This window comes from Homo sapiens, chromosome 8, assembly GCF_000001405.40.
Source record: "Homo sapiens chromosome 8, GRCh38.p14 Primary Assembly".
Classification (NCBI taxonomy): domain Eukaryota; kingdom Metazoa; phylum Chordata; class Mammalia; order Primates; family Hominidae; genus Homo; species Homo sapiens.
The window spans coordinates 96584001-96597283 of NC_000008.11; the positions used below are offsets into that span (position 1 = coordinate 96584001).

General features: G+C 42.4%; 1 protein-coding gene across 4 annotated transcripts in view, besides 1 other annotated feature; it reads left to right on the forward strand.

Annotated features, from left to right (window-relative positions):
* SDC2 (syndecan 2) overlaps positions 1–13283 on the forward strand; it is a 117978-nt gene that overhangs the window by 90188 nt on the left and 14507 nt on the right. For 3 of the 4 annotated variants that reach the window (NM_002998.4, XM_047422076.1, XM_024447228.2), the window contains one exon: positions 9480–9591. In NM_002998.4, the coding sequence (NP_002989.2) occupies positions 9480–9591 (112 nt within the window). Of the gene's footprint in view, positions 1–215; positions 270–2388; positions 2545–9479; positions 9592–13283 lie in introns of those variants that run through there. The other variant, XM_011517212.4, reaches the window with a different exon arrangement.
* Positions 5526–6026: an enhancer, noted in NCBI's record as "H3K27ac hESC enhancer chr8:97601754-97602254 (GRCh37/hg19 assembly coordinates)". NCBI's record gives its function as "activates a minimal SCP1, AML or CMV promoter by ChIP-STARR-seq in primed H9 embryonic stem cells {active_cell/tissue: H9 hESC(primed)}" and the evidence as "EXISTENCE:reporter gene assay evidence [ECO:0000049][PMID:30033119]".

Consider the following 13283-nt stretch of genomic DNA (forward strand, 5'->3'; position numbering starts at 1 on the left):
CTGGTCAAATAGTATAAAAGATTTCATAGCTTCTTAAAACACATTGCCAATGTGATTTCCAAAGGGTCTGTGCCAATTTCTGTTAGTTGGCATCTTTTAAATAGTCAAGGCTTCTTTTTACAGGCCAGCAGCAGAGTGTTCCATATTCCTATTGACATTCAGACTCAGTTCTAGCTCAGACCTCTGAAACACTTGGAAATTCTATCCATTGACTGTGGCAAGTCTCAGAACTCAGATTCTTTCTCCAGCCTGAGCTGAAGCCTGGAAAGGTGTGGTCTGCCCTTTGGCCCCAAGGTCTTTCCCATTTTTCTGTCCTGTAAGCTTTCTGTGGCATTCTGTCAGCCCTTGTATAGGGAGGAGAATATATGTGGTTATGCCTTGGGGCCTAGAATTGTAGCAGTTGAAAAACCCTTAAAGTGAATTATTAAATCTAAACCAGAGCCTGTTGGCTTCCTGTGCTTGACTTGGACTCTGTTCCATTATGGTAGTTTTTACAAACACTTCTGAATACGAAATAAATTCCAAATATTTTTCCCCCTTTCTCCTGCCAAACTCCGCCAGGAAACAGAATCTCATTACTTCAGTTAGAATTTATTAATGCTGACCCTCTCCAGCACTTGGAGCTTTTCAGGTTAGGCTCACACAGCTTCTGTTTTTACTCTAGTCTAAACTGTGGTCATATGGATAGCAAAATAAATACTAGAATATTCTAGTTTGGGAAGGGGAGAGGCAGCGATGCCTGTAATAACATGGCTGCAAACCTCTCGCTTCTCTCTGTTTGATATTCCAAAAAAGGAAGAAAGCTCAATGCGGAGCACATCTGTAAGTCATGAACATTTTCCTTTTGTGTGTCATGCATATTCAACATAATCCCACTCAAAGTCCCAGGCGTTGCTTTAGTATACATTGCCTCATACATCCCTACTGTTGTTGCCAGAAAATTTAATTCAAGACAAAGGTTGCTTCCCTTCTGTCTCTGGATCAGGAATCTGAACCCATTACCACAAACAGAAGTAAGAATTGTCAGTGTGTTCTGCTTTGCTTTTATTTTGTTTTTTTCCCCCAGTTGCCTTTTATCCTTGTGGCTGAGGAGGAAGATTTCTTGTTCGTTTATTTGTTTTTAGTGTAAGCAATACACCAGTTTCATGAAGTGTATTTTTAAAAAACGTATTGATGGGATTTTGTAATGCAAGTGTTTTGAAATTCAAAAGCAACAAAAGGGCATAATGTGAACATTCTCTCCAGGTGGGATATTTGGCTTTTAATTAGTTGTCTCTGTAATTATTTTGATTAAAAATGTACGAAATGTGTCAAGAGTTTGGGTGAAAAGGTTTAGTTTCCTTTTAGCTGGTTTTATTCAGTTAAGAGTTCATCATGAGATGATGGCTTGGAACACCTGAGGGTTCGGATGACATGAGTTTGTAGAATGATATGCCAGTGATACGATGACTGGGAGGTGAGCATAGACTCAGTGAGTGTGTGTACCCAGGGCTGCTCATTGTTGCCAAGCTTTAGATTGAAGAGAAATGAGAAGGATGGGGGCGGGTGCATCCTGTTTTATGTGTTGTGATGCTTGGGGACAGGGGAAGGGGACATCATTCAGTTAAATAAGCATATGAGATCTTTCTGGATCATCATATCTGAGATGCTGTTTTAAATTTACCCAACAAACCACTTACTGCACTAGGTACTGTTCTGTAGAATGAATAAGCAAACACTGTAGGAAGAAAAATTGTTTTACACCACCAGATGCCCCAACGTACATACAGCAAGGACCCTTTCTGAAAATGATATTGATTATATTGAATCATGACTACAAGTTTAGATGTGCCAAGTAATCCTCTGGCAAGAGGTTTTTTTTTTTTTTTTTTTTTTTTTGGTTGGTGGGGGTCGCAGTTAATGTACTGATTATTGCGCTGAGCATTTTATGAAACAGATTTTACTTGGAGCTTTGTTGGCTTAGGAAATCTAACTGCTCTGAAGCAAGTTTAGTTCTTTTTTCAAACAAAAGAGGAGAATTTCTGCAGTTAAGTACCCTAACTTGGTGTTACTTTTTAACACACTCCTCAGCCATTTAAATGTTTTCCAAAGACCAGAGCCATGCCTGGCTCATTGGAGGCCTTCTTCATGAGCCCAAGGTTTCTTCCAAGGTCACATTTACCTTTTCTGGCAGTTCCCCTCAGAATAAGGCCGAATTCCAGCTTTTTAAAAAAGAGACCATGTAAGAGAACATTGATCTGTTTTTCTCAGTTGTGGGGTAACCAGGTAGTTTCTTTAAAGGGCTTGGTTATTTCCTTTCACCAAATGGCGTAAAGCTTGGATTCAGCCCCTTAGAAAAAAGGGTTTCTTCTACTTTCTGTGGAGCCTTTACCATATATTGGTTCCTAGAACACAACGGCGGTCAAGGGAGAGGACGCAGAAAGATCAGGCTCAGGCCTGGGTCTTGGGCATCTTCAAGGAACTCGCTTTCTCAGTGGTATAAGAAGAGCCCCACTCTATAAGAGGCATCCAACAGGAACAGCCAACATCAGTGGCACCTTCCAAGTAAGTGGTTCAGACTTCAAGGACTGTGAATAATTACAGTAGGAATTCTGTCATCTCCCAGACCTTGGGTCATTTCAGAAGCTTCATGGAACTAGAGGAATTTCTCCAAAGTTGCCTATTACCTGACATCTTTATGACCAGCCCAGTCATCCTTGTGCCTCCCACTTTCCACCCAAATGTGATTCTACCTTCATGTAACCTGATTATTTTTTTGGCTTTGGGTTTGTTTTCCTAATACGCATGAGTAAATCATTTAAATTCATTCCCACTCTGTGGAAGGGATGTTGAAGTGTTTCTTAAAGAGACTTTAGCTTTCTATATAATGAATTAAGAACTATTTAAGATGTTTGAAGCAGTTTGGAACTGAAGACCCTTCTTTTTTTCTTTTTTGTTTTTGAGATGGAGTCTGGCTCTGTCACCTAGGCTGGAGTGCTGTGGCGCAATCTCGGCTCACTGCAACCTCCGTCTCCTGGGTTCAAGCGATTCTCCTGCCTCGGCCTCCCAAGTAGCTGGGATAACAGGCACCTGCTACCACGCCTGGCTAATTTTTTGTATTTTTAGTAGAGACGGGGTTTCACCGTCTTGGCCAGGCTGGTCTCAAACTCCTGACCTCAGGTGATCTGCCTGCCTTGGCCTCCCAAAGTGCTGAGGTTATAGGTGTGAGCCACTGTGTCCAGCCTAAAGACCTTTCTTAAGAATTTCTTATGTAGGGAGGGTTAAGAATTTTCTTTCATGTGTGACCTCACTTTTGATTTTGGCTTTTTTCCATGGATGGTTTGTATGTATATACAGGATAATAAGGTAAGCCTAGGAAATTGCTACATACTAGTTAGTTCTCTGTAAACAAACCCTTAAAGTAAGTGCTAGTAAAGACAACAGTATGTGCTTATAAGTCAGCCATATCTAACATATTCAAGGGCAAGATCATCTTTTTCCCACAGTAAACAAAGGGCTCTTTCCTTCTGTTACATTTTTAGTTTGCATGGGTCACCTGCTTGTTAGAATTGGCGTTACTAAAAATTAATGAATGACAATTGGTGTACATGGCTCCAGGCATCTTCCATGTAGGAAATTTGAGGGGCATTAGGCAGAGAAGTAACTGTTAAGCCAGAACTCAAAACTCTCAGTGCAATTTTTTCCCCATCTATGATGCCAAGAATACTAGTTCTGAAAGATGTTAAATCGATATTCTGGGGGGAGAATTTCCATGATCAAAGTTTGAAAATGCTGGATTAAGCCAAGTTCAACACAGCTCTTTATTGTAGTTCTTCCCCAGTCCTTTATTATTATTATGTGTGAATCACAGGAAAAGGGAGGGACGAGGTAGGCAGCATGTTGAACATGCTCAGTGACATACATTTTGAGGTCCCAAGTCCCTACTTTTGGAGCTGTATGATTTCAGGCAACAATCTCCTGGGTAGGCCCTGGAGATTGTTGAGATGATTAGATGAGCCAATGCTTAATAAAATGCTAAGCACAAAATGCCTGGCACGTAATAAACACCTAACAGCCACAGCTAATCCTTTTGAACCCGAGGCTGAATGGTCTGATGTCACTCATGTTGTGGGGCATGACAGTGCAGCAGAAAGAGCCCACACTTAGGTGTCAAGAGCTTCGGGCTCCAGTTTGGCCACCAGCTAGACCAGAGGACTTTTGAGCTACTTTGCTACTCTGGTGTTCTGTTTCTTCATTTGTGAAATAAATCAGTGATCTTGGTGACTATAGTGTCCAGTCAAGCTCTAAAATTGTATGTTCCTTTGGGCTAGACCTAAGCCAGAATTGACAAGTTTAGCTTAAGGACAGGTATATCATCTCTGAGTGACTGTGTGGGTGACATAAATTTTTAGCTAATTATTATTTCCTTTACAATGTGTGTTGCTAGTAATAAAATAGTTTACTGAGTCACCTATGGAAAGATAAGCTACAGTTATAGCCTTTTTGGCACTTTGTAATCATCATAAAAGTTAATATACATTTGAGTCATAATTGGAGTTGGACTGCCTTTACCGTAAAACAGGAGGCATCATCTAGATGTTTGTTGTCTGTGATGTGATACAGAAATGTATTATTAGGCCACATGGATATTTTATTTTTATGTTCAAAGGCTAATTTTCTGAAAGTTGGGTCTGGGAGTCTGAGTTATCCATAATTAAGTTTTCTACCTTCTGCTTTCGTTGTTAACCTGAGTTAAAACCATAAAGTAAATTCGACATTTACTAATTTGAGCTTTAATTATTTTGACCACTGTGTTGGTTGCACTGGTTGAAAGCATGTGCAGGACCTCTGCTTAGTAGGTAAGGCGTTGTGTTTTTTAAACAAGGCTTTGAATTTCTAAATAACAGATTTCCACACTGGCAGTTTGAAACATGGTATTTGTTCAGTGTAGGTTTTACCTACATGAGAAAAATCAAACAAATAGATTTGTTCAGTTGCTATCCTACAAATTGTCTTCGCTGAGAAAATGGACAGGTTTGTGATGTTTCTGACTACATCAAGACTCTACTACACTTGATCTTTTGTGTATTGAATTAACACTTGTTCTTGTCATTTTTATTACAACTACCGTATAAGTTTGGGCTGAATCATTTTATCAAACTCTAAATTTTTATCATCAAATGTGGAAGGCCTAAATCACCATCGCTGTCCTCAATTTTCCAACCTAAAGGTGTTTATTTCCTCTTAGGGGTATAATACGAAGGAAAGTAGTGTCACCAGATCTCTTCTTGGTGTTTTTGTATTGGTGCCTGGGGTTTGGGTAGAGGAAGCAGCAGCAGCAGCTGAGACTAGAACTGCAGCTGAGGCCACTTGGTAAAGAACTTTTTTCCAGGCTAAGGACTTTTGTTTTGTTTGTTTGTTTGTTTGTTTGTTTGTTGTTTGTTTTTTGAGACAGAGTCTCCTTGCTCTGTCTCCCAGGCTGGAGTACAGTGGCGCAGTCTTGGCTCACTGCAGCCTCTGCCTCCCAGGTTCAAGTGATTCTCCTGCCTCAGCCTTGCGAGTAGCTGGGATTACAGGCACCTGCCACCACACCCGCCTAATTTTTGTAATTTTTGGTAAAGGAGTTTCACCATGTTGGCCAGGCTGGTCTCAAACTCCTGACCTCAGGTGATCCGCCCGCCTTGGCCTCCCAAAGTGCTGGGATTACAGGCGTGAGCCACTGTGCTAGGCCCAACTAAGGAGTTTTTATGTCATCCTCTATGTGGCAGGGAGCCAATAAAGGCAGGAGAGTGATACGATGATGTTTGAGTTCAAGAACAGTCCCTCTGCATCGAATGGCTTCAAAGACACGGACGTGGGCAGTGACAAGGTCAGGAGGCCTTAGTCCAGGTCCAGGCCCAACATGATGAGTTAGCCAGAGCCGGGGGGCCAGAGGCAAAGGGGTGGAGATAGGAGACAAGTATGTATCTTGCCTTCCTTCTAGGCATTGTGGGTTTACACAACTGAATCAGATGCGCATTCTCCTCTGGGAATTTCATCTATGGAGGCAGTGTAGTGCTTCAGTTTCCCTGGCTGAATGTGGCATTACGCAGAACCCTCTATCTGTCTGCCGCACATTTTCCTCTTGGTCGTACCTTGTTGCTTTCCACAGCCTTCCTTTGCTCTCCTGTATTCACATCTTGCATCAGCCAAAAGGGAAAGGTCTGAAAGACCAGCTTTGTTTTTCTCCCAGCTTGTACTCTGGACCCTGTTAGCCAACAGTATTGGCACTGCCTCACAGCGATGGTCAGTCCCAAATTAAACAGCCTCGTTATGACACCCTACAGCCAGGCTGCAGCTCTGGACTTGTGCTTCTGCACGTTTCCTTCCAGTTGCTTTCGTCCAGCGTCTCGGTCCCATTGAGTAAGGGAGTGTGTGCAGAGTATGTCCCGAGGTTTTCTCCTCAGTCAAGCAGACTACATTTCGCCAGGTGTAAAATCGGTAGTTTCGAATTCACCCCTTTTCATGGCCTTGAGGAGATGCTTGTCTCCTTGTCCCAAGGGAATATTGGTGCATAAATCATTTCCCGTCCTAGGCATGTTCATTCCAGAAACCTTTCAGAACAGAGTGTGGAGTCTTCATAAAAGGAATTTGTCATGAGCGCAGGGGTTTTTTTTTATTTTTTATTTTTTAAAGGGGAAGGCAATAGAGGTATTCATTATCTGCTACAGAGTGAAAAGGGCCCTGCTTTATGTTAAATTGGACTTCATGGAAAGATATTGGTAATTTCTCCTATGTTCTTTGTGCTCCTGAAATCAGAGTGGGAGAGAACTTTGATTTCAAAATTATTTTCACCACCCTGGATCACAGAGAAACACACTTTTGGCTGCCTTTAAACACATTAAACATCTGGTCAGCCCAGAGACCACCCGGGAGCCCTGTAGACCCCAAGTAACTGAGTGGCTGAGGGTAAGCCAGCTTCTCTAGACACACCCTGACTTCCACCCCAAGTCTTGTTGAAATACAGGCCTGACGGCTGTCCCAGGAAGTCAGTTGGCTTGTCAGACTGCCAGTGTGGTTGAACGGTGAGGTGGCTAGAATTCTCTGGGAGGCATTTTTGGCCCATCTGCCTGGTAGCATGACAGATGTGTTAGTCCAGACAACTGGGTCATCGAATGAATTGAAATTCAATTTACACATAGGGATTAAGTATCTCAGTATTACCCTTGCCACATCAAACTTCATTGACAGAGCCAAGAGGAAAATGAAAGTCATTCAATGTTAAGAAAAGGGAAACAAGATTCTAACATGGAAAGGGAATATTTTGCTTACTTTTAAGACTGTAGGTTACTTAAATAGATGCAATGCAAGCTATAGGAGGTTTGGGGCAGATGGTCTCCTAGGCTTAAAATGGAGAGATTTTAAACTACGAGGATCCTGGAGGTCTTGTGACATGTAACTCTGAAACCTCAGTCCAAGGCCAATTTGGTTTAAGTAATCTCAGTCAAATATTTATTTTGTGGCCATGCATTTTGAGAGGGACAGAGAACACAGGTCATTCAAAACATGCCTTCAATGAGTTGTACTCTGCTGAGGGGCAAGAAAAATGCACATGAAACAATGAAAAGTAACAGTGAGGGTTTATGTCTTAAACTGTTCATATGCTACAAAATCCTAAAATAGTACTTTATAATTAGGAGGTGTATAAGGAGTGGAGAAGTCACAGCCTGTTTCATAGTAGCCAGGATTTGAGAGAAGAAACCAGGAGGTCCTCCAGGGGAAGTAAATGGGACAAAGTTTAAGACAAGCAGGACGGAGAATGGCTTTTTCATGGGAGCACGAATGGTGGTTCAACCCAAGCGGTGTTTACTGAGCATCTACTATATGCCAGGCACTGTGACTGGGGGAGGGAAGCCTTGCCTTTAAAGGAGCTGAGAGCCTAAGAGGAGGCAGTTGATGATAGAGCTGTAGAACACAGGGCTCCTGACACAGTTCACAAGCTTTGGGAATTACAATCTGGAATGGTGATAGCCTTGGAAACCAGTGAAACAGGGTGGCGTCAGATTGCAGAGTTAAGCTCTGACCATTCTACTAGAAAAGTTGCAGCACACTCTTGGCTCAGGGTGGTCCAGGCCACTGGAACACCAGTCCCTAAGGTTTCAGTTCTCAGAATCCACCAGTGTGATAGCTCAAACAAAATAGATTCCCATGCTTTGCTTTCAGTTGGCACTGAGGCCTGGTGGAGAATGTGGGCTCAGGTTTAAAGTGCTTTAGCCTTGCTAGCCAGCTGCTGAAACCTGAGAAAATAAAGTGGTACTGTTACAGAGGGTTGGACCTGTCCTCTTAGGAAGGTTCCAATCACAGCGACTGCTGGAAGAGAAAATTTTATTTTAAGATTAAATCTAATGAAAGCCAGTGTAGTAAGGGAAACATTATTTTATAATTTCTGTTAAGAGCAAACATTCTATATGATTTTTAAAAATAGAGCAATAATGAGTGTTGCCTGTTTCCAAACAAGCGTTGTTTAAAAGCTGCCTGTCTGCTTTATTATTTTTTTCCTGGGCTTTTGCGAGATAATGGTAGTAAAATATCAATTTACTAAAACCATTTTTTAAAGTCTTATACCTCTACTCTGTCTCCAGTTCATGCAAGTTCTTCTTTTGGCAGGATTAGGTTGAATTTTAATACTAAACTCTTACTGAAGAGTTAAGAAGCTGTGGAACTGGTATACTTAGTGACTGATCCCTCTCCATATTAAGCGTGTGATTTGCTATTACCAGTTGCCAGTAATAGAAAAAGAATGTGCTCGTGTGGGTTTATCTGTATTTGTCATTAAGGCTTTGCTAAGCCAATGAGCCCTAGAAGCAGGCGTGCAGTGGGCTTTCTCCCTGTCAGGTGAGCCTCACGGGCGCTGCTCCTCTCCGGGCACTGTGGCTGGCCTCAGCACAGGTCTGGGCTGGGGTAGAAAGGCCTGCATGGCCTGAGGACCCAGGTGACTGGGGATCTCTCATCTGTAGCGGTAAAGTTCTGAGTATTGCCAGGCCTGCAAGCACTGGTAGGATTTGATGGATCCCTGGGTGATTATTTAGCCTAAGCTAAGCCGTAATACCTTTGCATACATCCCCAAGAAAGTCCTAAGTGTTTTGTTCCCTTTCCAGTAAGGGAGTGACAAAGAGAATGCCCAAGATGGCTTATAACTAGCATTGGGATGGCTGAAAGTCAGGTAAGTTTAGTGGAATGCAACAAAATAAGCCCAAGATAGGAGTTTAGATCTCCGAAATGTTTTCATTCTACTGGTTTAAGCTGTGTAGGCTTCCCTTGCAGGTTATTAGTCCGTGCTCACCTCTCAAATTGCTGTTAAGTTGTCAGGGTGCCTGAGGAAGACTGTGGCCAGAGATGTGGATTCAGACTACTGTGGGAGTGGGAGGGGTAGTCACTGCAGTATGTACCTGAACAATCAGATATACAAGTGTGTTTCTTAATCTCTCAACATCCTGACTCCCTTGTCTTTCCTTTCTCAGAGAGCAGAGCTGACATCTGATAAAGACATGTACCTTGACAACAGCTCCATTGAAGAAGCTTCAGGAGTGTATCCTATTGATGACGATGACTACGCTTCTGCGTCTGGCTCGGGTAAGGTGGCTGCTTCTAAACACTGGACCTCATTCTCCAGGCATGCACGCACACACATTTTACTGTGCTTACTTCAAGGAGACAGGCAGGATGCACAGTGGTTAAGGGCACCGTCTTTGGAATCAAAGGGCCTGGGTGCTAATTCTAGCTCTCTCTGCCACTTACGCTGTGAGATCTTGAGAATTTATTTGCTGAGCCTCAGTTTCCTCCTTTATAAAATGGAAAGTAACAATAGTCCTTACCATAGAGTTGTTGTGAGGATTAAAAGGGAGTTGACACATCTAAAGCTCTTAGATTTGGGGGCTTGGCACATAGTGCTCTGTCAACATTAGCTTTTAATCGTATTAAGACTTTCAGAGTGATGTCATGGAAACCACCCTTCAAGAAATCCCTCAAACACTGGTTTCATAAAACCACCTACCCTATGTTAAAAATTGTAGATGAGACCAAGAAGTTAATACGTTTTTATTCCTAGGGTATTGTAGGAGGAAAATGCAGCAGCCAAGTAAAATGATTATGTAGTGACATGATCAGATTCCTTAGTATATTATTCCTTAATAGTTATCTGTTACCACTCTAAGGCTACATAATAAACCACCCCAAAACTTGGTGGCTTAAAGTAACAGTCATTCATTTAACTTATTATTCTGTAGGTTGGTGATGTAGGCTGGGCTGGCTGGGCTCCCTCACATGTCAGTGGTCAGCTGCCGGTTGAGTGTACAGCTTTAGGTTGGGTTTGCAGCTTTCGGGTACTCATATCCCTGGGGCAGCTGAGCAGACTTGGGTTCTGTTCGTGTGGTCTCTCATTCTCCAGTAGGCAAGCTATTTTTTCACAGTAACAGCAAGTAGAAGTGTGCAAAGCCTCTTGCAGCCAGGCCTTAGAACTGGGCACAGCATCACTTTTACTACATTTTACTGGTTGAAGCAAGTCAGAAGGCCAGAACAGACTCCACCTCTTAGTGAAAGGATTCATAAAGTCACATTTACAGAGGATATGTATACACGGAGGATTAAGGGATTCTGGTCACATTTACAATCTACCATAATTGATGAATATTTCCCCTGTTCTCAGAATGGCCCCTGTATGAGTTCATTCTCACCCTGCTAACAACACAGGGACTGGGTAATTTATAAAAGAAAAGAGGTTTAGTTGACTCACAGTTCAGCATGCCTGGGGAGGTCTCAGGAAACTTACAGTCATGGCAGAAGGGGAAACAAACATGTACTTCTTCACATGGTGGCAGCAGGGAGAAGTATGAGTGAAGAGGGGATAAGCCCCTTATGAAACCATCAGATCTCATGAGAACTCACTGTCATGAGAACAGCATGAGGGTAACTACTCCCATGAGTCAGTGATCTCCCACCAGCTCCCTCCCATGACATGTGGGGATTATGGGAACTACAATTTAAGATGAGATTTGGGTGGGGACACAGCCAAACCATATCAACCCCCAAGAAGCTCAAAAAAGGGAAGAGCTTTCCACATACTTAATTAATAGTCAAGTGAGAAATTTGTGGTCAGCAGCATGGTAGGCAAGACTTATCCAGACCTTTTTTGCTTTAGGGTTTTTATAACAGATTCAACAGATTGTTAGATATCTATGTTCGGTATAACTTTTGTGATCAGATTGAGCTGGGCTTCAGAATGACCCAGAACAGATTAAAATCAGTTGTGTCTTTGGTAGAAATCTAGCCATGTAAGAGTGAATGTTTTAAGTTGAAAAGCAGAAAGTCTGAGAAAGACAAGAGAGGTGGTTGCTGACCTAGTAACAATGAGCTTACAATGCAGTCCTAATGTAAAAATAACTCTAGTTATTCTTGGGAGAGTGATATATATCACACACACAAAATGGGTGTGAAAAGAGTTGTTCTTATTGCCCACAACTCTATAAATATCTTTCACTCATGGCACCTCTTTTTTTTTTTTAGCACCTTAAGAGTTCTTTGTAACTGTCATCTTCAATATGTCCCAGGAAATAATAACTATGGACATTTTTTGTTCCTACTTCGCAGATCTTAGAATCCAAGAGTTGTTAGTGGGGTGTACAGGTTGGCGAAGTCATTTTGCTGATTTGCTAAGGTTGACCTTAAGTCTAGTTTAAAGAAACCAGTATGCTTAAAGTAAGTTTTCTTTAAATTAAACTTAAGGACAGTCTTAGCAAATCAACACAATGACTTTGCCAACCTCTACAGACCCCCTGCCCCCATCCAGGTAAAAGAGAGTTAGGGAGGGTCATTTGAAGTCCTGAACCCACTGATCAGATAGATCAAGCTGAGGGTTAAACCTGGGCCCACACTGCTGGTGCCATGGCCCTAGCCTTAGGCAGATCACTGCTGTGAAGAAGTGAAAGAGCTTCGTTCTTGACTTTGGAAACCACCTTACACTGAGCTGGGAGTGTTGTTTTTCAGCATGAAGCAGCAGTACTTGTAACTAAAATTTGTGAAGCTTTTAACTGTGTCAGAAACTACTCTAACCCCTATAACATCTCTGAAACGATAGATTCTGTTAGTATTTCGATGATTCCCACGAGAAAACCTGAGGCACAGAGAGATTCACTTGCCTCAGGTCACACTATTAGAAGGTAATAGAACTGGGATAGTGAGAAAGTGAGGGAGTTGGGCGTGAGAGTGTGTTTTCTTTCATTCCTTTGCTGTGCTGCCTCCTTGTGTCATAAACCCCTTCTAGAATTACCCAGTTCCAGCTTAAAAACACCCCAGGGTTTGGCCAGTGTACCAGTTGTCCCTTCTTTCATCCAGCTATCCAGTAGAAAAGCAAATGGATTGGAAAAAATGGCTGAAGGCCCAGAGGGGACTTCCTGGGCAAGGAGATAGGACTATGTTCTATATGTGGGCTCAAGTATGGGCATAAGCAAACATGAAACCCTTCATAAGCATTTGCTGTGTGCCACACACTGTGCCATGCTCTTGGGGCACAGAGATAAGAAAGACTTGGTCTCTGTCTGTAGGGGACCAAGAGTCTAATGAAAGAAATACAAACATGAGAAATAATCATTGTGATACCCGGTGAGGGGTGACATAATATAGGAAAGGGCTGTATAACAAAAATGTAAGAGGTAAAATATAGACCTTTGGTTAAAGATGGCAGATCGAACACTACTACCTTTCAGTGTGCAACTAAATTGACGATAAAAGAATTGGGCATGAACTCATAAGGACAAACGAAACAGTAAAGGAAACAAAAGCCATGAAGTTTTGAAAGCTGGGAAGAAGATGAGCTAGTGGGGACAGACTTGGCAGGCTTCAGAAGGCCGAGTTAGTTCGCAGTGGGGAGAGCCAAAAAGCAACCCAGTTAACACAGCAGAATCTCTTGGGACCTAGGAATTGGTGGCATTCAGTGGAGGGTGAGAGTGATGTTAAACTCAGGATGATTGGCTGGAAGTCTGTTTAAGAAATAGATCCCCTGGTTCCTTTCCTCTGTCATGTAGCAAAGGGGCTCATGTTCCCTGCCCTCAGAGGGAAACCTGGAGATTTATTATCTGGAGAGGGTAAAACAGAACCCGGGGGTATTTCAGGAACAGATGGGGCTGGGGGTACCTTATGTAAGACAGAGAAAATAAGTTCTTAGATTAAGAATAATTTAATATGGTGTGATCCCAAGTTGTCTTGTCTTCTCCCAGTCAGTTCCCAGAACACTGGCAGTCTGTCCATTTACCCTCTGGGTAGGGGACTGG